The sequence below is a fragment of the Homo sapiens genome, chromosome 16 (assembly GCF_000001405.40).
Source record: "Homo sapiens chromosome 16, GRCh38.p14 Primary Assembly".
Taxonomy (NCBI): domain Eukaryota; kingdom Metazoa; phylum Chordata; class Mammalia; order Primates; family Hominidae; genus Homo; species Homo sapiens.
In genome coordinates, this window is record NC_000016.10 from 81,377,404 (window position 1) to 81,400,145 (window position 22,742).

General features: G+C 44.6%; 1 protein-coding gene and 1 non-coding gene across 3 annotated transcripts in view, besides 3 other annotated features; both read left to right on the forward strand.

Annotated features, from left to right (window-relative positions):
- GAN (gigaxonin) overlaps window positions 1-13,406 on the forward strand; it is a 75,848-nt gene extending 62,442 nt beyond the window's left edge. For both annotated transcript variants that reach the window (NM_022041.4, NM_001377486.1), the window contains one exon: window positions 12-13,406. In NM_022041.4, the coding sequence (NP_071324.1) occupies window positions 12-193 (182 nt within the window). In that variant the 3' untranslated portion in view covers window positions 194-13,406. The remainder of the gene's footprint in view (window positions 1-11) is intronic.
- MIR4720 (microRNA 4720) lies at window positions 7,615-7,690 on the forward strand. Its single transcript, NR_039871.1, has one exon. It is a non-coding gene; the product is annotated as a microRNA 4720 (primary transcript).
- Window positions 9,471-9,665: a silencer, noted in NCBI's record as "fragment chr16:81420479-81420673 (GRCh37/hg19 assembly coordinates)". NCBI's record gives its function as "represses an EF-1alpha promoter that drives an FKBP-Casp9 reporter gene in an ReSE screen in HepG2 liver carcinoma cells {active_cell/tissue: HepG2}" and the evidence as "EXISTENCE:reporter gene assay evidence [ECO:0000049][PMID:32094911]".
- Window positions 19,844-20,394: an enhancer, noted in NCBI's record as "H3K27ac-H3K4me1 hESC enhancer chr16:81430852-81431402 (GRCh37/hg19 assembly coordinates)". NCBI's record gives its function as "activates a minimal SCP1, AML or CMV promoter by ChIP-STARR-seq in primed H9 embryonic stem cells {active_cell/tissue: H9 hESC(primed)}" and the evidence as "EXISTENCE:reporter gene assay evidence [ECO:0000049][PMID:30033119]".
- Window positions 20,395-20,945: an enhancer, noted in NCBI's record as "H3K27ac-H3K4me1 hESC enhancer chr16:81431403-81431953 (GRCh37/hg19 assembly coordinates)". NCBI's record gives its function as "activates a minimal SCP1, AML or CMV promoter by ChIP-STARR-seq in primed H9 embryonic stem cells {active_cell/tissue: H9 hESC(primed)}" and the evidence as "EXISTENCE:reporter gene assay evidence [ECO:0000049][PMID:30033119]".

Genomic DNA, 22,742 nt, shown 5'->3' on the forward strand with positions numbered 1-22,742 from the left:
CTGTGGCTTAGGTACCAATTACGACTACGTGCGTGAGTTTAAAAGAAGCACAGGAACCTGGCACCACACTAAACCACTCCTTCCATCCGACCTTCGCCGTACAGGATGTGCAGCCTTACGCATTGCGAATTGCAAGCTTTTCCGCCTGCAGCTTCAGCAAGGCTTATTCCGTATTCGTGTTCATTCCCCTTGAGGAGGAAGCAGAGCAGAGTGCGAGATCCTGACCCAAGAGCACCATAACATAGCTCCGAAAGGGAGAGCAGAGATGGCAGCTGAAACTCACTCTGTGCTGGGCTTTGGTATGGTAACTCTTTGGTGGTTTTATGATGCTTACAAACTTGAGCTTTAGCTCTTGTTTGGGAGAACACGTAACTGTTGAAAAACTACCTGGGAGGAGTGAGTTCCTCCAGTTAAATGTGGCTGTAGATGTTGGAGGCTAGGGAGGCTAGTAAATATCAAAAGGAAAAGGGAGTGGGAATTGCTATCATGTAAAATATCAAAGTTAAAATACTAAGGTGCATTTTCCCTGAAGGGAACTCATGTCTGACTGCTGTATTCAAATACGTAGCTTTGGTAACAAACAAAATCCGTATATGCAAATCAACATATCCAAACATGCCAAGACTGCTTTTCCACTGCACTTGGAAGGATATATTATGCCTAACCCTGCCCAACAAATTAAGGTTTGTGCCTAAAATGTTAGATTGGACTGTATGCCAGTTAGTCTCCATTTATTCCTAGTACTCTGTCCTAAGAATCTTTTTAAAACTATATCATGATGAATTGAAATGAAGATAAAATTGCTCTTTTGTAACTTTATCTTAGTAATGTAAAGATTCAGTAAATTGATGAGTCAGGTTGCAGCCCTCATGTGAACTGAAAGAAGTTGCTCGCTTCTGTGTTGACTTAGATCAAGACACGTCACGCATCCTTTCTGGGGTAGTACCTGTGGAGCCGGGAAGGGTCTCCTGCAGTGCCATTCTGCCTTCTCAATGAGCAAAACCATTTTCTAAGTATGAGGATATTAGTGAGTAGGAGATTTTATAAAAGAAAGACCTGAGTCAGACAAATAATAAAGGTCTGCTGTGGCTAAAAAAGCAAAAACAAAAAAGCTATCCAGACAAAATACATAGGGATCAGAAACTTTTTCATATAACCTGTCTGAAAGCACACAAAGTCTTGTTTACTACTGTTTAGGGTTTGAAAACTTGTCTTAGAATGCGAATCTGTGTTAAGAATCTAGTCTTTGTAATAGAAGTTTCCCAGTGGCATTCACTAGTGAGAGTTTTAGACAAATTATGTTACGAGTAAAGTTTGGCTGGTAGAATAAACTACCTCAACTTAATTTCATTCTGTTCATAGTAGAGCAAATTAATCTTTTCCTCCTTCCCTCCTTTCCTATCTCTCATTCTCACCTCAACCCACTTTACCCCACTTCTCATTGGGGGAAAAATGTCTTTCGTTCGTGGAACGTATCTTGTAAGATATTTTGTTTTCCACTTGAATTACACCACCCTAGTGTGAAATCGGGGACTTCAAAGTGCTTGATTCCTTCCTAAATTGAATTTTATGCAATGTCAAATTTCTAATCAATTTAATATACAGTACTTCATTTTTAATTGTTTTCTAAAAAAAAGGTTTTTTTTTTCCTTTTGGAATATGGCTGTAAGAAGCAGCATTTTGTCTTATTAACACATGTATAAAGGTATCCTTTGGTTTTAAGTCGAGAACAGGAATTTCTTCTAGAAACTTCCTGTATGGAACGTTTATATGCAATTAACATGCATATGAAAAACATCACTTACGTTCTCCCACCCATAGACATAAAAAAGGGTGACCTGTGATTTTTTTTCTTATACCTGCTGGAAGTCAGTACAATGCGTCAAAAGTTGCTGAAAGATGCTGTGCCTATGGGGTTCTAGAGAGTGTTGAGTGTGGTACATTAACTCTCCATTTTAGCCAGAAGATACCTGATAAGAGAAGGTGTAAGGTTTTTATCTTATATGCCAGAGGCACCAGGCCAGATGTGCCGCACAGTCATGTAATTCAATCATGTTTAATATGTCAGTCAAAACCAAATTCAGAATTGTTTTGTGTACCAGTCAGCTGTTGTCTGCACATTTTCGTAGTGACAGTGTGGAGATCTTTTTAATGAAAGCAAACTATGTGGCCTCTGCAAAGAAAGGAAGATTTTTCTTTTTACAACTAGATATTAGTTTTAGAGGAAGGAAATAGCTGAAAAACTAAATTTGCTTTGGTGAAATGTCCTGTACAGAACAGTACCTTGGCATTCAGCAGCTGTAATTGGGGAACATTAAAACAGTAACTGACATCCAGTTAAAGCCACGATCGTCAGCAATTCTCCTTTTTTAATTTCTGATATTTAAAGTTTTTTTTCCAGTCTACACCAGGCCTCTCCAAGGAGACAGTTCATTATTTAGGAGTGAATGTGTTCCTCTTGCAATATTATCAGTACCTGCATGACTTGGTAAATTCATTTTATAAAAATAGTGTTTTTTTTTTTTAATTTCAGTTCATTGACTCTATAACTGCAGAAATTAGATAATGTTTTATAAAATAAATTTGCCACATAATATGGGATGCAATAACCAACAAAGCTGCTAAGTGCCAAACTGTTATTTTACTATATATAAATATTAAAATATTGTGTTGAAGTATAGGGATGTATTTAATTTTACTATGCTCCAACATTAATCATGACTCTTTTGTAAATTACAGTTATTTCAGTATTGTAAAATAAATGTTGACTCATTTCATGCAGGTTTGTGTTTTAACATTCCACTTATGCCTTGAAACATCATTTCTTGATAACTTTTTGATACTTCTTTCTTGATAAGGCACTTTTACCAGGTGTGTGTTGGAATTGGTGGCTCAGGATAGGTCTTAAATTTTAAATACAAATATCTTTGGGGGAAGTGCAATTTATTTTCAGAAGGAAAGTTGTCTCAGGTTAGAATAAGTAAATATTTAAAGAACCTCTCCTAGGCTGCAGTCTAAAATAGGTAGTTTGTTTCTTTGTTTAGCATATCCAAATTTAGATTTTTCAAAGATTTAAGTGTTTATTGAAAGTGTTTTTTGTTTTGTTTTTGATAGTGCTTATATCCTGTGAATAGAAAAAGTGTGAGAGATGAATGAGTGAGTTGTACGTGTGTGTGTGATGCTATTTGACCTGATAAATGTATTTGTGTTTACTTTTTGAATTGTAGTTCTAAACTACATATATTACTGTCTCCTGGTGCTTCAGATAAATTCTTGAGCCTGTTGACCTTCAGTTTATACTACTGTGTCGAACTCATATTGAGTGTAAATATTGAAATATTTGTAGTTTATAGTAAGTTTTACTTGGTGTTCGCGTTTCTCTTCTTCAGCAGGATTAAAAACAGTGTTTACCAACTCGTAGTTGGTATACTGTCAGGATTTGGCCTAAGAAATTTCTGAATGCATTGTTTAGCTTAGTACTTCATTGCTGTAAGGAATTGATAGCTAACTGTAGGCTTTTTTCAAACTGTATAACAACCAAAAAGGAGCATTTGGGGGTATGTTGGATGGTGTTTTGTTTGTAAACACTTTGTTATATTGCACTACCACTTTAATGATGACACTTCCTTCATTGATGGCTTGGAAGTGTCATTTTTATAATTTATGAGTTGGGGGGATTCCCTAGTCAATGCATAGGAAATACATTCTTTGTACAAACGTGGTAAAGAGAGGACTGGCTTTGCTATGGCACCTAAGTTACTCATGGGTAGTTAAGTTTCATTTCTAGAGAAATGTCTTAGCTGCTGTGGTCCATTAGAGTTCCCTTTGGTACATTCCTACCTCAGTGTACCAAACCAGGGATTCCAAAAACCTTCCAAGGAGTGCTAGAAACACCGCAGTATCCCCTTCCAGAATGTTGGCGTTCATGATTCAAGAGGCCTCCCGTGGTCAGATGAAGACCTTTGGTTAAATGGGGGAAGAATGAGGTGGCGCTTTGACTGTATCAATTTAAAGATGCCGGAACCCCGTTAAAAACACCTGGTGGAAGGGAAAGGTGAGGCGGCCCTTTTCCACTGGCTGCTCACTGAGCACTGGAGTCCAGGAAGTCAGTGAGAAGAGAGCAGCTGAGTGTAGCAAAACCCGCCTTGGGTCAGCCAACACATGTCTGATGAGCACCCACTAGGAACTGTGCTTGCCATCCTGGGAGCTGAACAGTGAGGCAGAGGTCACACCACTCTCCTACTCAAGGTCATAAACCCACTATGGAACGGGCAAGGGCCCCGTCTTTGTCATCTGCCAGTCTCAGTGCTTGCACAGAGTAGGTAGGCAATAAACATTTGACAAATAAATATAAGATTCTTGTGATCAAAGTAATGTTCTTCTGTTGAAAAGGGCACTCCAAGAGTGACTGATTTTACTGGGTTTTCAGTGAGAAACTTTGTACCCATATGGGCTGGCCTCCTATACGGAGCTGAAACTAGCATGGGCCGGCCTCCTATATGGAGCTGAAACTAGTATAGCATAAACAATGCCAAGTGCCTGATGTACATGATGTACAGTCTTCTGATTGTACCCTCTATATGGGACTATGAGACCCTCTATAGACTCAGCACAGCTTATAATGTTGATCATGTTTAGTATTGGGCTTTATTGACTGCTTTTTATATGGGTGTCAAAATCTTTCCAGGACATACCCCTTTGATCCTCACACCTCTGGAATAGGCAGGGCACTCTCCCCATTGTACCAGGGTAATCTTGGAGGCCTGATAGATATGGCTTCATTTCTCACTTTAGGGAGGAGCAAGAACCAAAAGCAGAAGCCAGGTCTTTGGATTATCAGCTCACCAGTCAGCCAGTGAGGCTGGAACTTGATTTTTCTAGGCATACAAGTATTTTTAGTAATAGAATAATCATTTTTAGTATTAATACAATTTACGCTCCCAAACATGTCCTTTGCTAGTTGCACAGGCATAAGCTGAAAGATCTTTGATTTTCTTTGTTAGTTAGCTATAGGAAGGTTAAGAATTTATTTACTAAGGTCGTAAGAACAGAAGAAAGTTTCTTTGAAAGAGAAACTGTTTTTTTATTTCAAAGAGCTTCATGTATACTTCCCTCTCTTATTCCATGTAATTAGTAAGGGAAAATAAACTATGTCTTAGAATGTTGAGGAAAGTATTTTGATAGCTTTTAATAATTCTTGAAATACTCTTTACTCTGTCTGTAGTTTTGAGAAATTACAGAAATTCATAGTATAAGGATGAGAAGGGGCCCATTTGCCCATATTTGATAACACAGACTTGGATTGAGTGTCTGTCATGCCTGCTGGCAGTTAAGTCTCAGTGGTATTGACTGCTAGGCATTTTCTATATTTTTTGCAAGTTAGCTGGTAAAACTTGGTAAAGTTTTGTGTTTTTCAGAAGGAACCCTATTATTATTTCCATTTTAAACATATTTCAATATTGTCTCATTGTAATAGTTCCATTTATGTGACATCTGAGGAATTAAATCATACTTCCAGATGGTTTGGTCTAATGTATACAGTTTAGGAAAGTTTATTCTTTTTTATTTTATTTTATTTTTTTAAATTTCTTTTAGAAACTGGGTTTTGCTCTGTTGCCCAGGCTGATCTTAAACTCCTGGCCTCAGATGTGGAGACCCAGCTGGGACTACAGGCATGAGCCACCACGCTCCGTAGAAAGTTTGTTCTTTTTCAGTTCTGTCATTGAAATTCTCTAAGTGATTGGATTTTTAAACCCCTTCCCCTTTTCATGAAATTAAACATCAAATAAATAAAACTACATTATATAATTATTTAGTCAGAAATGACTGTTGCCCTCTCTTTTTTTTTTTTTTTTTTTTTTTTTTTTGAGACGGAGTCTCGCTCTGTCGCCTAGGCTGGAGTGCAGTGGTGCGATCTCGGCTCACTGCAATCTCCGCCTCCTGGGTTCAAGCAATCATCCTGCCTCAGCCTCCCCAGTACCTGGGATTACAGGTGCTTATTACCACACTCGGCGAATTTTTTGTGTTTTTAGTAGAGACGGGGTTTCACCATGTTAGCCAGCATGGTCTCGATCTCCTAAACTTCGTGATCCGCCCGCCTCAGCCTCCCAAAGTGCTGGATTACAGGTGTGAGCCACCTCGCCTGCCCTCTTTTTTTTTTTTTATTTTGAGATTAAAACTAATTCTTTTAAAGTCACTACTCAGCTGAAATTTGGCCTGATTATAAATGTTGATAATAATTTCTTCCTGGCTCAACAAAGTTGTTGAGCTTCCTTCTGTGCACACATTGAAAGAAAACCAGAAATTGTACAGTCGTGATATGAATTAGAGAAGGAACAGGTGGAAAAGGATGGCAACACACAGAGTCCGGGGGACACACGGCCTTAAGATGAAGTGAACGAGTAGACACTGAATAGGATCCACGTAAATGAACGGCCATTTCAAATCATTCACATCCCAAACGGAGGTTCATCTGTCTTCTGGTTGGTGAATTATATTTATTAGGATCTTATTTTTAGCATTTCATTACAAGTAATAGGTTTGGGTACCTTATTTTTATTGTTTTTACTCATCAGTTATGAATAAGGCATACCTTAGAAACTTGGGTTAAATTTTTTCAAGTTATACCAGTCAACTTGGTTTAAATACAACTGTACTAACTTGCTTTATCATGTTTCCTGTTTAATTGGATGAGAATTACATGCACTTATTCAGTTGTTCTTTGTGTTTATAGGAAAAACTCTGTTCTCAGCTACCTCATTATGTAGTATTGTGCTTGATCCCCTGCCAATTGAGAAGAATTCAACACATTCTGTTCTTTAACAAAAGCTTGGAAGCAGGCAGTCAGAGGCCTTGAGGAATACAATTCTCTAAGGCCTGTTTTCCATTTTACTACTTAAAAAAAAAAAAAAAAGAAAAGAAAAAAAAGCACTTACAACCAGGAGGAATAATAATTCTCCTAGAGTTGCTGCAAACTGATTACTTGAAACTCAACTTGAACTTTAAAGAGTCTTTAAAAGGCTGTTTTCATAATGCAGAAAAGTAGTCTATTTAAACGCCACTGCTGTGTAAAACAGGGGGCTCGATTTCCATTCTTGTTAGCATCAGACAAGAAAATGTGTCTATCTGTCATCTGACCCAGTATTTGGGATTTGGGTGCTTGAGGATACTATTTTTTTCATTTCTTATAAGGTGCTATTGTTTCCCAGAAATCTTTAATTTTGATGAAAATCTACTCATTGCTAAGATCCTCCTCACTTAAAGTGTTTCCTCAGTGCAGAGTTGAGGTTGGCAGAACTATATAGAGTTGGATGATACTGAAAATCATGAATGATGTGATTTGTTCCATGTATCTGTGGAACATCCCTCACCTTCCTCCGGTATGCGCCTTCTGCACTCCACACGTGGTCGCCTCCATCCTCCCTAGTGTCTGTCAGCTTGCCTGGTCACCAAGTCAGGAGGAAGAAGATGAGGAGGCTCACCAGTTGTAGGCAAGACTCTTCCTCTCGGGAGATCTTGTAATAATGGCCCAGTTTCAGGGCACAGTTGTACACATTCTACTTAAATGGAGGAGTTCAGTGATGCCGTGGCCAAAAGAGTTATGCCCATTTCTAAAAGCCTGGCATATTTGGTATAACTTAAGCACCAGGTAAAATCTGGTGCTTAAGTTGTACCAAGTATAGCCAAGTTTAACTGTCGTTGTGTATTAATAAGATTTAATTTTTATGCTTGTGCTTTTCAGAGTAAAGGGCTTGCTTTCAATAGTAGAATGACAAAGCTTCTCCTCCAATGACAATCTGTTAGCACCCTGTTGACTTAGCTCAGGACATGAGACTGACTTAGCTCAGGACATGAGACATTTCCTGGAAGTGATTTCCATGAGAACAAAGGCTTATTCCTTTAACTTAAACCCCAAACTTTGTTATTTTAATTATTTTCAGGCAATCATCTTTATATACTTTCCTTACAAACCCAGTGGTTGAGAGCATAGGCCTTGGTGGCAGGTGCATCTGGGCTTGGGGGCTTCTGCCACACTTACTACTCTGTGACTTGGGAAGCTCTTAAGGCTCCCAAGGCTCCGTTTCTTATGTGGAAGAAGAATAGCAGGAGGACTCACCTCTGCGGGTTGTTGTGAGGATTAACTGGGTGATGACTGTAAGCAGCTGGGAGAGTGCCTTGTGTGCAGTGACCACTGTTGCTGCCACCATGATTATGTCACCTCTCAACATGGGGTGGTGGGAGGCCCTGTGGATGAGGCCAAGGCTGCCTGCACTGAGTGTCCCAGGCCTTATAGCTTTCCACATTCTCACGTCTGCTGCCACATGATATACAAGTAAATGTATTAGAAGTTGGTGTTCATAAAATACTTTTTTTTTTTTTTTTTTTTGAGATGGAGTCTCGCTCCGTCACCCAGGCTGGAGTGCAGTGGCGCCATCTCCCAGGCTCAAGGGATCCTCCTGCCTCGGCCTGCCAAGTAGCTGGGACTACAAGTGCACACCAGTATGCCCAGCTAATTTTTTGTATTTTTAGAACAGGTGTGGTTTCACCATATTGCCCAGGCTGGTCTCGAGCTCCTGAGCTCAGGCAATCCGCCTGCCTCAACCTCCCAAAGTGCTGGGATTACAGGTGTGAGCATCCAGCCAGAAAATGATTTGCTTTCTAGACCCATATCACCTCTCTCCATCTACATCTCTAGTATTTAAATTCAACACAATTCTAGATAGCTGAAACAGCCCAAAATATGTGTTTAGAATACTTAGAGTTTGTTATAAATAACCCTCTGTTTAGAATTTGCCCAGTGAAATTCTCTAATAATACTTAAAACTCTTTACTAAAGTTGAATTTTCCTTTTTTTTCATTGAAATAGCAAAGGTAGTAATCTGTATTGGTCAAAGAAACGAGATAATTCCTAGATCTCTGTTTTAGACCAGTAGACCTAACTGTGCTTTCTTAACTTGGATGTTACATGAAACTTAAAAACAAACAAATATGTGTTACAAGTACTTGTGTGTACGTGCATGTGTGTTTGTGCATGTGTCTGTGTGTGTGGAACTTTTGTACCTTTGCATAAAGAAGGTTATTTAACAAAGTGGTACAAACAGTGAACTACTTAATCCTTCTATGGTATCATACACTTCTTTTCCTGGTTAGGTTATGAGACTGGCAGAGGTAGGAGTATATAATGTGCTCAGCTTGTCTTGATTTCAATAAGACATTTGATAAAGTCATTCTTGATCTCTGAATGTGAAAAGGAAGTAGAACAGCCGGGCGCGGTGGCTCACGCCTGTAATCCCAGGACTTTGGGAGGCCAAGGCGGGCAGATCACCTGAGGTCGGCAGTTTGAGACCAGCCTGACCAACGTGGAGAAACCCCGTCTCTATTAAAAATACAAAATTAGCCGGGCATGGTGGCACATGTCTGTAATCCCAGCTACTCGGGAGGCTGAGGCAGGAGAATCTCTTGAACCCAGGAGGCGGAGGTTGCGGTGAGCCGAGATGGTGCCGTTGCACTCCAGCCGGGCAACAAGGGCTAAACTCCATCTCAAAAGAAAAGAAAGAAAGGGAAGTAGAAGTAGGATTTAACAAAGGACCGAGAAGTCGGCTGAATAGCCAGGTTCAGACAGTGTTGGCAAGAACGGATCTTTGGCAAGATCACTTAAGGTGAGCTACTCTAGCAGCATCCTGTTTGACATTTGTATCCATAACTTGAATAAAAATATAGAAGGCAAAGAAGAGTGCTGGGCAAGATGTGTTGGGTGTTAGATCTGCAATACTCTTCATAGTGTAATGGCTAAATGTAAAGTCTTACGTCTCGGTTCAAGAAAGCACGTTGCTATATGAAATTTCAGAAAAAAGTTTTGTTGCGGGGGGTGGGATATTGATCATTTGAACATATGCCAGTTGTTTCTCCTGCCCTAGGGGAGGTTGGCACGGCAACCTTCCCACTCCGTAGGTGGGTAGCCTTGCTGATGGGGCACGTCGTCACCAAGGGACCTGATTGTTGTCATGGTTTTGTCTTGTCCTCCTCCCTGGTGAAAGTCTACTGCAGTTTTATTCTCAGCTCTGGAAGGAGAGGGAACGAGCCTCTGCCTGTGTGTCCTGACCCCTCTTGCCTTGTTTTTGATCTGCTCAGGCCGGGTGCAGTGGCTCACGCCTGTAATCCCAGCACTTTGGGAGGCAAAGGCAGGTGGATCACTTGAGGTCAGGAGTTCAAGACTAGCCTGGCCAACATGGTGAAACCCCGTCTCTACTAAAAATACAAAAATTAGCCGAGTGTGTTGGTGGGCCCCTGTAATCCCAGCTACTCGGGAGGTTGAGGGAGGAGAATCACTTGACCCCAGGAGGCAGAGGTTGAAGTGAGCCAGGATTGTGCCACTGTACTCCAGCCTGGGCGACAGAGGGGGACTCTGTCTCACAAAAAAATAAAAAATTAAAAAAAAAGGTCTGCTCAGAAATAGGGGAAACACGGGATCAAGATCATTAGAGATTTATAGGCTGGGATGCACACCATGTCTTCAGAGCTAGCCGGCTGTGTCTTCTCCCCGTTTCTTTCACTGGTGAATAACCTTTCGTTTGAACCAGCCTTGATTGTTCTCTCCATGTTCCACTGTGGCTCCCCATGGACACTGCTAGGTGGAATCTCTGAGAAAACAGGCACTTCGCAGTCGGCGCATCTTTCTCTGCCAGCTTAGGGATTGCCGTCAAGGTGGAGGAAGGGTATTTTGGCCATGTTCGGAGTCGTTGTTTTTACTCACTCTTCTTGGGATAGCTTTCCCACCCTGCCCTCTGCTCCTCTGTCCCAACCCTCTTCCAGCCTGGTTTTTTTACTGCTTGAATTATGTATCCAAAATAAAAAGGAAAAGAAAGGTGCAGTTGGGGCGGGTTGTTGGGGGCGAGGAGAATAGCCCTTCTGGTTCTTCAGACCACATAATGGCCAGAGCATGAGCCTCACAGATCCCTGAGCAGACCTGCATACTAGCACTTTCCACAACCAGCTGGCCCTGGCTGTGAGAGTCAGATCTGTCCCCAAGGCTCCAGGTCAGAACTTGGACCCAGGTGCCTTCTGAGGCACCGCCAAGGACACATCCCAGCGCCTTAGGCACCTGTAGGCTAGAATGACACCTTCCAGGCCAGCCCCAGAGGCCCTCAGGGCTCCCCCTCCAAGCCGGGAGGGCAGGCAGGCACAGGCCCCGCTCACTACCTCAGCACCCAGTGCAGCCCCAGGCTCCCGGACGTGCTCGGCCCGGTGGCCTCTTGTGTGACAGGCCCTCTGCCATGTCTGTCCGCAGAGCCGGGTGGGGACCCTCCGTGTGGGTCCTCCTCTGTCCCTTTGCAGCTCGCATTCGCCAGAGCGGAGCGCAGCCCTTGTTTCCTTCTTTCCTCTTCAGCTCTGACTTAAAAACACACTATGTTCCAAATCGTTGTGGGATCGGAAACTAGAACTGCTTGTTTCCAGGAGAGACCACCTTTTCATATTTTTTTTAAAAGGAATTTGTGCTTCAAAAGAAACTCCAAAAAATAAATTTATTGTTAGTCTAGCATATGCTCATTGAAATTGACTTATGTTTTATTTTAAAAAATCATGTAGGATCTGGTACATGGGGCGGGCAAAAGGGTATCATCAGCTTAAGAAGTAAAGAAGTGAGCCTTCCATTTGTGTGGGTGATAACATCTTTTTCCTAGATCGTACCTCAAAATTCAGGCTCTCCATGAAAACAAAGATAATCTGAATAAAAATTGTGTGTTGGGAAATGTATCAAGTGACCTTCAGTTAAGAAAAGCACAGGCTGTTTATTAGCACAACTTGCTTCATTAAATAATTCGTGGCTTTTTCTGCCACTGGGGTTCTTTTCGTTTTGAATTCAGCTTGTGTTTGGTTCCTCGGTCTTGTACCCCTTCAGTTCGCCGGCGACGTAATGGTGATACCCTTTGTTTTTTGTATCATACCTTTTGTGAATTGTGACAACCATCCCGTAATCATTGTGGCCTCAGCAGAAGTTTTGAACAATCTTTGCAGCCACTGTTGGGGTGTGTACCAGCAGCCTGGAAGTGACCAGCAGAGCTGACAAAAGCACCCCCTGCTCTGCCCACCTCCGCAGAGTCCTGTCCTCATCAGAAACGGTATCGCGGATGCTCCTCAGGTAGGCGTAGGCAGACTTCATTGTGTGTTAGCAGTGACAGTGATGTCTGTACCTATCTGTGAGTGAGACCCATTCATGACACACTAGAAATGTGTACATTCTTTTGTTTTCCATCACGGGTATAGGTCTTCTGCCATGAAAGAGAACTATCAAGGAAATTCCTGAAAACAAGATTTGTAAATTCGATTTGACCCTCCCAAATTCAGGGCTGCTCTTTGCAGTGGTCCCTGGCCCAGCAGGTGGCCGGCGTGGCTCCTGTTGGCTCATGCCAGTGTTGTGCTGGACCCTCGAGTATGTGACTGTCACCCTTGTCCAAGACTGGTTTTTAACAGTCTTGATTTGTCATTTTGATGCTTTGAATACTATAAGGAAAATGCCACGAATACCATATAAATACCACACCAATCTGTTGAACATATCTGTGTTTTCTGACATGGGACCTGCAGAATAGTATTTCTTTTAAATCCTGCAACTTTATTATCTAGTAGAATTCCAAGTAGGTCTGCTTAGACACATATTCAGTGAAGATTGTATTGTGTGTGATATTATCCTATCTTTAATAAAGTCCTACTACTGAAAAACAGGGATTTGCAATGAAAATCATAGCTAAATAGGCAGGTTTAGAAAGTTCAAAATATTGGAAGTGCTAGAAGGCTGCAACTTGTAAAATTGTACTCCCCAAGTTCAGTAGGATAGTAGAGAAGTCGTGCTAAGTTGATTTCATTGAAATGTCACGTCTCACATCCTGTGGTCCAAAGGTACTAGTTTGTTTTGTGGAATAATTTTCTGTTCACTTGCTGATAAGAAATTTAGCAGTCAGAAGTAATTTTTAATTAATAACCTTTCTTTTTAAAAGTTGCTTTATGGTTTACAAGTAATACTGATGCAAAAAGGATTTGTTAACCTAAATTAAGTAGCACGCACTTTGTTTACATGCTTCAGTATATTGTGGGGTTGGTCCCTTCTCACGAACCCAGGACCTGTGCTTGGGGAACATTTTGCCATCATGCTGTTCTCTTGTACCAAGGATCAGTGAAAGTGTTTTATCTTTTTTATGTAGTTTGTATTGACTGGATTTTATAACTGTAAGAAAACAGAAACAGAGTGTTGTATTTTGATCTGAAATTTGTGTATGCTAAAGTAATTTTGTTTTATGTATTGGAAGTTCACTTAAAAACTTGAAATATTTTCTAGAAGGGTACCACACAAAAGGAATCATCTTTAAGCTGTTTAATTAACCTAATAAAATAATTTGATGGGGAAGGCATTCTAATTGTTTCTGATTTTTAGAGTGGTTCCTGCTAAATCATCATTATCAATACAGCTTGATTTGATTTAAGAATGAAACGTTGTCGTTTCTGTCATTTACACGGTGTGGGTGTCAGCTCCTAGACCGTGGCTTGTGATGTTAGATCCGTCCCTTAGCAGCCACACCCCAGTCACTGCCTGAGCCTCTTCCATCGCTGACTGCCTGAGTCTCTCCATCGCTGACTGCCTGAGTCTCTCCATGGCTGACTGCCTGAGTCTTTCCATGGCTGACTGCCTGAGCCTCTCCATCGCCGTCAGCATAAGTCTCCTTGCTGTCTTCCCTGAAAAATGGTTTCAAATTGGCTTTCCTCAGAAGACAGAGAGAAAATAGATTTCGGAGGACTAGAGGACCTTGATATTAAGGGCTTGGTAATATGAGGCAGAATTCCATCTGCAGAAAGCAGATTTCTCTAGTTCCCTCTTACTGCGCTGTCCAGAGACAATAAACCTACAAAGATTGGTAGTACTTGAAAAAGATAATTCAAATACAGATCTCCACTGAAGGCAAGGGGTAAAGAGCTTAGCAACTCTACCATAAGGTCCAGGTTAGGTAAGGACAGGAAAGTGCACGGGCCGTCTGCAGACTCCCTCCTGAAATCACATGAAAAGAGGCAGTATATTCATCTTTGGTGGCACGGCATGGCATAACATAGGTGTGGCAAGTGGGTTTAAATTTTTTTCTACCTTTCATAACGAGGTCATATGGTCCAGTGGCCTGTAGCCCTTTAAATTTTAATTTAATTTTGAGACAGGGTCTGGCTGTCTTGCCCAGGCTGGAGTGCAGTGGTGCAATCTCGGCTCACTGCAACCTTCACATCCTGAGTTCAAGTGATTCTCCTGCTTCAGCCTCCCAAGTAGCTGGGATGACCGGCACATGCCACCACTCCTGGTTAATTTTTATATTTTTAGTAGAGATGTGGTTTCACCATGTTGGCTAGGCTGGTCTTGAACTCCTGGCCTCATATGATCTGCTCGCCTCAGCCTCGCAAAGTGCTGGGATTACAGGCATGAGCCACCATGCCCGGCCTGTAGCCCTTTTATCTTTGGGGTGAGGGAGAGTTGCTAACTGAATCTCAGCCAGAAACCAGTGCCTGAGACAGAGGGACGCCCTGTCTATGGGGGGTGGCACTTCGCAGGTGCGGAGGTGAGGGGTTGACTGTCACCATCTTTAACCCTGTTGACTGCTCTCAATGGTGATAACGGATCTCCTATTGAAAACCTACGTGACGGAGCCCATCTTCAGCCCTTCATGTGTTAACTCAATTCATCCTTGCAACAGCCGTAGGAAGAAGGTAGTATCATTCTGTCCATTTTACAGCACAGAAAACTGAGGCACTGAGAAGTCACTTTGCCAAACTCATGGCTCAATGCAGAGGGCAGAGCTGGGATTCAAGGCCATTTCCAACATCCACACACATAATGATGTCACAGTCCGGCCTGTGTCTCTGGAGAGGGGACAGACCTTTTCTGAAACTGGCTCAGTTGTTGAACAGCCAAGGGTTCAGAGTCAGACAGTATGTGGCAAAGGGGTCGGGGAATCCTGCTGGGGGCTGAGTCAGGACCACCGTCCTTCAGCTGGAATAGGAGCTGATGGAAGCCAAGATTTTTTTTTTTTTTAATACCAAGCTTGAGTGACTTTTTAGAGAAACCTCTACCTCTCTGGAGAACTTGAGGGAGTCCATTCACGTGAACTCTGCCCACTCTGGAGTTGGGGTGTGAGTTGTCTCCTGGGGTTGTCTCCGTGGTTACTGGGCCAAGGGGAAGATTGGGTTTCCTCTGAAGGGTGGGTCAGCTGCTTCCACCGGCCCCCAGCCATTGACACCAAGGATCCTTCTCTACCAAGGGCACTGGACTTGAAAAACCCATTTCCTCAACTGGATCTGTAGAGGTGGGGCCAAGTGGTATCTCAGCTCTGCTTTTAAAAGTGAGGGATAATCCCAGACACAGTGGCTCGCGCCTGTAAATCCAAGCATTTGAGAGGCTGGGGCAGAAAGATCACTTGAATCCAGGAGTTCCAGACCAGCCTGGGCAACAGAACGCGACCACCCACCTCCCCCCGACCCCCAGCAGTCTCTACAACAAATTTAAAAATTAGCCAAGTGTGGTGGCACATGCATGTAGTCCCAGCTACTTGGGAGGCTGAGGTGGGAGGATTGCTTGATGCCAGGAGGTCAAGGCTACAGAGAGCCGTGATCACACCACTGCATTTCAGCCTGGGCAATAGAGCAAGACCCTGTCTCAAAATAAATAAATAAATAAAAATAAACACTCTCTACTCTAGGATGGCTATAATTCTTTTGAATTTTAATAACGCAGAAAATAAAGTTGGCGAGGATGTGGAGAAACAGGAACGCTCGTGCACTGCTGGTGGAAACGTAAATGGTGCAGCCACTGTGGAAAACAGCTTGGTGGTTCCTCATGATAAACATGGAGTTAACATATGACCCAGGAGTTCCACCCCTGGACGTGTAGACCCAAGAGAAGTGAAGACTCAAATACTTGTATTCAAATGCTCATAGCAGTGCTATTCACAACCCAAATGTGCCCACACAACCAAAATATGCATCAGTGGATGAATGGATAAGCGAAATACAGTCTGCCCATCAATGGAATATTATTCAGCCATATGAAGGAGTGGGGTGCTGACCCGTGTGACAATAGGGATAAACCTGCAAAATGCCATGGGAAGGGAAAGAAGACTGTCACAAAAGGCTGCTTACTGCGTGGCTTCATTTATTTAAGTGTCCAGAACTGGCACATTCCTAGAGAGAAACAGGTTACTGGTTGCCAAGGGCTGGGAGAGGGGGAATGAGAGTGACTATTCGTGGGTACGGGGTTTCCTTTGAGGGTGACAAAATGGTTTTGAAACTGGATAGATGAATGCCCAACACTGTGAGAGAGCTAAATGCCACAGGATTGTTCTCTCAGAAATGGCTGACATTTGGTCAATTTTACCTCAATTTTTAAAAAGAGGGATAGAAGATAGGGGGCAAATAAGAAAAGTGATTGACATTCCGGTAGCTGTGTTGCCAGTGATATTGAGGAAATAGGGAATCCACTCTTTTTTTCTGTATTTTATTTATTTATTTATTTATTTTTGAGACAGGGTCTTGCTCTGTTGCCCAGGCTAGAGTGCAGCGGCGCGATCTCCACTCACTGCAATCTTCACCTCCTGAGTTCAAGCGATTCTCATGCCTCAGCCTCCCATGTAGCTGGGATCACAGGCATGCACCACCACACCCACCTAATTTTTGTATTTTTAGTAGAGGTGGGGTTTCACCATGTTCAAGACCAGGCTGGTCTCGAACTCCTGACCTCAAGCGATCTACCCTCCTCAGCCTCCCAAAGTGCTGGGATTACACGGATGAGCCGCAACACCAGGCCAGGAGTCCACTTTTATACCTGCATTAGTCCGTTTTCACACTGCTATAAAGAACTACCAGAGAATGAGTAATTTATAAAGAAAAGAAGTTTAATTGACTCACAGTTCACATGGCTGGGGAGGCCTCAGGAAACTTACAGTCATGGGCGGAAGGAGAAGTAAGGCATGTCTTACATGGCAGCAGGAGAGAGAGAACGGGGAAGAGCCGTACACTTACCAGACAACCAGATCTCGTGGGACTCTAGCATGAAAGCAGCATGGGGGAAACCGCTCCCATGATCCAACCGCCTCCCACCAGGTTTGTCCCTTGACATGTGAGGATTACAATTCAGATTATCATTTGAGATGAGATTTGGGTGGGGACACAGAGCCCAACCATATCAATACCCAAAGTGCTGTTTCCTGTGGATGGTCCAGGGGTGGCCAAGACTCCAGCTGGAGAGGGGTGGGTTAACAGCACCAGGAGGAGCCCACCCACGTGTGCAGCAACCAGTGTTCCCCAGTGATCCCCCACCTGGCCCCAGCATCAGAGAATTGGAAGGAACCTGGGAAGGCAAGTCTCCTACAGCCTTTAAACTCGTGTTTCTGAATTAAATTCATGTAGGAGCCAACCTTCCAGTTAAAAGCTCAGGTCCTGGAGCTAAACTTGTGTTCAAATCCAGTCTCCAGCACTAACTTGTTCATTAGCTGGGTTCTTACTCTCTCTGCCTCAAGTTTCCTGGGGACAGTGAGTGGCAAGGACCCACAGCCTCAGAGTTGTGCCAGAACTCAGTGAGTTAATGCATGGTAGTGCAGAGAACGGTGGCTGGTGCAGTCGAGACCTCCTCTTGCTGGCCGTTAAGCCTTCAGCTCTGAGCCCCATCAGTGCTGATAGCTACAAACTACCCCCTTCTGCACAGTCGCCACTTCCGCACAGTCGCCACTGCCAGCCCAGCCTGCATCTTCCCCAGCTGCATCCCAGAGCATGGATCCAGGAGGTGGGAAGACCCCTCAACCATCTACAGTTGTGTACTCCTAAACTATTTATGGGGAAAGGCAGTGCACGCTCCCTTGGGCTAGAGGTGGGGTGCTCAGGGATTTCCCAGCCTGGGACTCTTGCCATAAGGGTGGATGTTTTGTATCGAGCAGGATATACTTATCAGCTGTGACCAGGAAAGGAGAAACTCACAATTCCAGCACGGCCAGAGAGCAGTTGCCACAGCCGCCCCGTGTGTGCCCAGCAAAGCTGTGGGGCAGGGTGGAAGAGGAAGAGGGAGGTGCAGCTTGCCTTGGCCTCCCTCCTCTCCCGTCCTCTGCACTCCCCAGCGATTGTCCAGGGCCAGCATTCATCAAACACCTCCCCTACCAGGCCCTGTGGAGAGGTTGCTAAACTTAGTCATTACATTCAGAATATTCCTAGGATGAGAAGAGATAAGAAAGTCAGAAGCTATTAAGAAACTTATTCTATGGCTGGGCACGGTGGCTCATGCCTGTAATCCCAGCACTATGGGAGGCCGAAGTGGGCGGATCACTTGAGGTCAGGAGTTCAAGACCAGCCTGGCCAACGTGATGAAAACCCATCTCTACTAAAATACAAAAATTAGCCAGGCATGGTGGCACATGCCTGTAATCCCAGCTTGGGAGGCTGAGGCAGGAGAATCACTTGAATCGGGGAGACAGAGGTCATGTTGAGCCGAGATCATGCCACTGCACTCCAGCCTGGACAACAGAGTGAGACTCCATCTCAAAAAAAAAAGAAAAACAAACTTGCTGCAAGTCTCATGGCTTGTCTGAGGCAGAGCCAGGATTCGGACCCACATCTGTGTGATACCCAGGCCTGTATTCTCTCTCTGGCTGTCCTTTCCTCTTTATGCCATCTCTGTGTCATTAGACACAATACAATGAGACCGGCACCAACAAAGCTTCCTCTGCTCCAGTGGACCCCAGAGACACAGACAGAAGAGCCCAGCTGCGCTCAGGGGCCTCCCTGTCAGAGTTCTCACCTCTGCAGGAAAAAGACCTTGAGATTCCTGATCTTTGCCACCTGCCCCCACAAATACATCTACTCCTCCCCAAATACCCTACTCCTAGAACCAGTGAATATGTCACCTGACGTGGCAAAAAGGGCTTTGCAGATGTGATTACGGACTCTGAGATGAGACAATTATTCTTGATTTTCAAAGTGGGCCTGCGTTAGTCCGTTTTGCATTGCTATAAATAGGAATACCTGCGACTGAGTAATGTACATGGAAAAGAGGTTTTATGGCTCACGGTTCTGCAGGCCATACAAGCATGGCACCAGCATCGGCTCGAGAGCCTCAGGGAGCTGGTAGCCATGGCGAGAGGTGAAGGGGGAGCAGGTGCGTCACACGGCGTCACATGGCAAGAGAGGGAGCAAGGAGAGGGGAGGTGGGAGGTGCCAGGCTTTTTGGTTTTTTGTTTGTTTGTTTGTTTGTTTGTTTTTTGAGCTGGAATCTTCCTCTGTTGCCCAGGCTGGAGTGCATTGGCATGATCTCGGCTCACTGCAACCTCTGCCTCTCAGGTTCAAGCAATTCTTCTGCCTCAGCCTCCCGAGTAGCTGGGACCACAGGTGCGCACCACCCTGGCTAATTTTTATATTTTTTGTAGAGACGGGGGTCTCACCATGTTGGCCAGGATGGTCTCGATCTCTTGACCTCCTGATGCAATCTCAGCTCACTGCAACCTCCACCTCCCAGGTTCAAGCGATTCTCCTGCCTCAGCCTCTTGAGTAGCTGGGGTTACAGGCACCCACCACCATGCCCAGCTAATTGTTGTATTTTTAGTAGACATCGGGTTTCACTATGTTGGCCAGGCTGATCTCGAACTCCTGGCCTCAAGTGATCCACCCCGCTTGTCTTCCCAAAGTGCTGGGATTACAGGTGTGAGCCACCATGCCCGGCCATGTGCCAGGCTCTTTGAATAATCAACTCTTGAGTGAACTCACTACCATGGGGAGGGCACCAAGCCATTCATGAGGGATCTGCATCCATGACCCAAACACCTCCCACCGGCCCCATCGCCAACACTGGGGACCACATTTCAACATGAGATTTGGAGGGAATAGACATCCAAACGCTATCAGGGCCCACGGCAGTCACAAAAGTCCTTATCAAGGAGGCGGGAGGGTCAGAGAGAGATGTGACAACCAACACAGAGGCTGGAGCAGGGCACAGGGCCGAAGGCCAAGGATGCAGCAGCTCCAGAAGCTGCAAGGAGCAAGGAAAAGATTCTCCCGAGAGCCTCCAGGAGGAAGCAGCCCTGCTGACGCCTTGATTCCAGCCCAGCATTGGACACCGGGCCTCCTGGACGATGAGATAACACATCCGTGTTGCTTTAGGCCACTGCGTGTGTGGGGCTTTTTTACAGCAGCCACAGGAAAACGATGCAGCCCACCCTCTAAGTCAGAATCTGATGAGTCCAGAGGGGAGGGACTCGGGAATAGGACCCTTCTCAGGACATCTTGGAAATGACCCATCTGCTTCCAGAGTTGGCCGGACGTTGCCATGGCTTTCCTTGGTCAGAGCCTGCTGTCCTGTTCTCCCTAGATCTGAGCCACTCAAATGTCCTGCTCCACAGACGCTACAGCCGGAGTCCCTGGGCCCACTTGAGCTGCTGGAGGCCTCTCCTTACCCGGGCTTTCTTGTTAGACAGCAGTGAGGGCGAGGAGTCCCGACAGACGCACCCTCCTGCCTTCACCAGCAATTCCTGCTGATCCTGCTCACCTTCTGTAAACCGCCTACCCAATCCCGGCCCCTGCCTTTGCAGTCTGATTCTCAGTCATCAGTGTCTTTGGGAGGCCCACCTTGTCACCCCCCAGCTCCAGGCCCTGGACTTTTAACTGGGAAGCTGCCTCCCATTGAATCCAATTCGGAAACGTGGGTTTAAGTGCTGTAGGAGACTTGCCTGACCAGATCGCCCCCAATTCCTGATGCTGGGGCAAGATCACGGGGGGTGGGGGGGCCACCAGGAAAGCTGGCAGGTGCACACGTGGGAGGACCCCTCCTGGTGCCGCTAACCCACCCCTCTCCAGCCAGAGTCTTGCACACCCCTAGGTTGTCTACAGGAAACACCACTTTGGGTATGAGAATGGCTTCCTCATTTCCTCAATATCACCAGCAACGTAGCTACCGCAGTGTTGATTGTTTCTCTTTTATGTTCCCTATCTTCTATTCCTTTTTGTTTGTTTTTTGTTTGGTTTTGTTTTGTTTTTTTGAGATGGAGTCTTGCTCTGTTGCCCAGGCTGGAGTGCAGTGGCGTGACACCACCTCACTGCAACCTCTGCCTCAAGTGATTCTCCCGCCTCAGCCTCCGGTGTAGCTGGGATTACAGGCGTGCGCCACCACACTTGGCTAATTTTTTGTGTGTGTTTTTAGTAGAGACAGGGTTTCACCATGTTGGACAGGGTGGTCTCGAACTCCCAACTTTCAGTGATCTGCCTGCCTCGGCCTCCCAAAGTGCTGGGATTACAGGCGTGAGCCACTGCACCTGGCCTCATTTTTTCCTTTTTTTAATTGAGGTAAAATTGACCAAATGTCAGCCACTCTAGAGAGAACAATTCAGTGGCATTTTGCACATTCATGATGTTGGGCGTTCATTGATCGAATTCCAAAAGGTATTTTTTTGTTACCCTCAAAGGAAATCCCGTACCCATGAATAGTCACTCTCATTCCCCCTCTCCCCAGCCTTTGGCAACCAGTAACCTGCTGTTCGTCTCTAGGAATGTGCCAGTTCTGGACACATATAAATGAAGCCACGCAGTAAGTAGCCTTTTGTGATGGTCTTCTCTGCCTTCGTGTGGTATTTTGCAGGTTTATCCCTATTGTCACATGGGTCAGCGCCCCATTCCTTCATAATGGCTGAATAATATTCCGTTGTATGGATAGACTGCATTTTGTTTATCCATTCCTTCATTGATGGACCTTTGGGTTGTTTCCCCTTTTGGCTAATGTGAATAGCATTGCTATGAGTATTTGAGTACAAGCATTTGAGTCCCTGTTTTTACTTCTCTTGGGCCTATATACCCAGGGGTGGAATTGCTGGATCATACGGTAACTCCATGTTTAGCAGGAGGAACCACCAAGCTGTTTTCCACGGCAGCTGCACCATTTAACCTCCTGCTCCTGTCTCACTGCATTGAGAATGAAACCCAAACTTTGCACATGCCCTCTGAGACCCTGCAAGAAGTCCCTTACCTTGGGCTGCAGCCATGGGGCTCTCTCAGGACATTGGTACTGCATCTCCCCCTAACACTATGCCCAGCTACCAACTTCTCATCCTCCAGGACACAACATCAAAGTCACCTGTTTACAGAAGACTTCTCTGCCCCTCTCCTCCCACTCTGTATCAGAAGGGTTAAAATGCTGCAAAGGCCAAAGTGGTTACAAAAGTGAAGCAAAGGTGGTGAGAAATAACGAATACAAATAACCAAAAGCAGGCTCTTCTCAGCCCATTTTCACTTTCCACTGTGATTAGAGCCATGGGTTGGAGAGAGGTGTCACTTTCCTCTCAGCTCTATAGTCAGAACAACAATCATTGAGGGGTCTTAATGGCAGTGGATACATAGGCTCAGTGTTAGAAATCTCCAGAGAGAAGCCAGCGCTGTGGGAACCTGGGGAGCAATGCCCCATCTCCTGGGGGCAGCCACTGCCCAGCACATGCTCTGCTGCCATGCAGAAATGTGGGCTCAGGATGGCCGTACCTTCTGATTTTTCAGCTGGAGGTTTCTGTGAAATGCTTTGGTTTCTGCATTTAAAGTAAATTCAACTTAAAAAAAAAAAAAAGTAAGTCTAATTGTTCAGACTAGTCCCTCTCAAGCCACCTGATGACAGACAACTGAGGCTGTGAGTGACCTCAGACAAGACCAGCAAAAGAACCACCCAGCTGAGCCCAGCCCACATTGCAGAATTGTGAGGA